Below are 2,282 nucleotides of genomic sequence, written 5' to 3'. Positions count from 1 at the left end.
AAATTGCTGGGCAGGTGGGGGAGGGCTACTCACGGAATGAAACTGTAAGTCGGACCTGGTGTGAGTAGGGGAGGTGATAAAAGGATTATAGGGTGGAGGAGCGGAGGCTGAGGAAGAATCGGGACCTAGCTTGGCCTGGCGAGGAGGGGAGAGGTCAGATGGGTCTGTAGAAAAGGAAGATTAGAAAGACTCAGCGACGCTTGGGGTTGGGACTGAGAGGACAGGCAGGAGGGAAAGAAGGAAGATTTGGGATGAGTTGCATTGGGAACAGAGATGAGGGAGGGACCTATGTGTAAAAGAATGCCTGGATGTCAGGCACCTCAGCCCGTTTGCCTATTTTACGACAAGAATTATTTAGATCTTGTAGGATGGAAAAATTGAAAGTGCAATTTTCCGGCTATTTGGAACTACTGTCGGGTTTGTATTGGGGTCAAGCAGCATTGCAGAAGAAAAAAAGACGCTTAGATTTTAGGTCAGGTGAGAGCTGAAGAGGTCTGAAGTTCTTAAGAATACAGGCTAAGGGAGAAGAAGGAGGAATGGAAGGTGGAAGCTTGCCCATAGTGAAGGAGGCAAGCCCAGAGAAAAGAGTAGAGACACGGAGAAGGAGTGGGGGTTTGTTGCCTTCCAGAAAAGCAGGAAAGGGGTTGGGGCACGGAAATAAGGGATTGGGGCGTCTTGCCCCTAGAAAAGCGGGACTTGCCGCTAAAGGTGAAGGAGAAGGGGTTGAGGGGTACTTGCCCCTCCCCCAGAAAAGCGGGACTTGCCGCTAAGGGTGAAGGACCAATGTGTGATTTGGATCTTGATGGAAGAAGATAAATTAACTATAGGTTTAGGCAACATTACAGCCAGCATTACATCTGGAAAAGAGCTCCACCTTGAACAGCATCCAGGCCAGTCAAATCACCATCATGCTGGTCTCTTTTATAACACATTCAGTAGTTAATGCTGCTTTTATGTTTCCTAACTGCCTGTCCTAGGTGAGTTTGATAGCCCTGAGTCATCCAGTCTCTTGTTTTAAGTCAGAATGGATTCACTTACATCTTATTTGCATAACAAATAATCTTGTATACACTTAGGTGAATACTAAGATGGCAACAACAGCACTCTTATTAATTACTCATGTACAAATGGTACAGAATACGAGGTGCTCAAGAAATGTTATTAAAATTCTTTTTTTTATATATTTTTATTATACTTTAAGTTCTAGGGTACATGTACGCAACGTGCAGTTTTGTTACATATGTATACATGTGCCATGTTGGTGTGCTGCACCCATTAACTCATCATTTACATTAGGTATATCTCCTAATGCTATCCTTCCCCCGACCCCACGACAGGCCCCAGTGTGTGATGTTCCCCTTCCTGTGTCCAAGTGTTCTCATTGTAAAATTCTTCACATCAAAAGCTGGTAGATAAAATAGCCACATAACCACCTATTTTTTTTTTAAAGAAACCTTTAAAACTGTGTGTATTTTCTTGTTTAAGGATTTTAATTTAATGTAGTATACAGTTTCTCATAAATCAGCCTTCCTTTTGTCAGTCCATCTGTATTTTCATTATTTCTGATTCATTTTCTTCTTATTTTCTACTTTGTTAGTCTCTGTTTTCTCTTTTGTCTCTTAGCCTTTTCTCCTACAGCTGGCTTCATGTTTCTTTTGCAGTCTCTTTTTCCCCCTTATTCTTAATTTTTCCTTCCCAAATATGAATAACAGAGTAAAAAAGAGAGAGAGGTATTAATGAACAGATTGGCAGTGGAGTATCCATGTACAACTTTATTTCATAATATATTTCACGAGATATTTATTTAATTTTATTTTACTGTGCTCTTTTAAAAAGTACTTTTACATTGAAAATAACTGCTATCTTTTTATTTTTGTGCGGGGATGTTTTATACAAAGGGTGGCTGGATGCAATGAGATAAAGGTCCAAGGATAAGGAAGATGAACCAAGATAGAGAGAAGAACAAGCTTACCCCAATGCTTGCTTGCATATGTGCTGTAATATTTCCTGTGAACAAAACAAAACTAACTAAATAATAATTTTAAAATCCCATTACATCTAGCCCTTACTATAAAAAAAAATTGGATTTTAAAATTTATATTCCCAATTAGACTCTGCTGCTAACTCTCTGTATATCACTGGCTTTCTTCTTCACCATTATTAATGTAAAGTTAATGAAATCTTAGAAATGAAAGAAAATTATCAACTACCCTTATAATCACAATTTACAGGTGAGGAAACTAAGACTAATATTTTAAATATTCTAGTAGAAAGATCCAGAA

General features: G+C 39.2%; 1 annotated feature.

Annotated features, from left to right (window-relative positions):
- Positions 699-1,248: an enhancer, noted in NCBI's record as "NANOG hESC enhancer chr5:97415319-97415868 (GRCh37/hg19 assembly coordinates)". NCBI's record gives its function as "activates a minimal SCP1, AML or CMV promoter by ChIP-STARR-seq in naive H9 embryonic stem cells {active_cell/tissue: H9 hESC(naive)}" and the evidence as "EXISTENCE:reporter gene assay evidence [ECO:0000049][PMID:30033119]".

Source organism: Homo sapiens, chromosome 5 (assembly GCF_000001405.40).
Source record: "Homo sapiens chromosome 5, GRCh38.p14 Primary Assembly".
NCBI classification, from domain to species: Eukaryota; Metazoa; Chordata; class Mammalia; order Primates; family Hominidae; genus Homo; species Homo sapiens.
The sequence above is the reverse complement of the archived record's forward strand: the minus strand, read 5'-3'. Positions and strand labels throughout refer to the sequence as shown.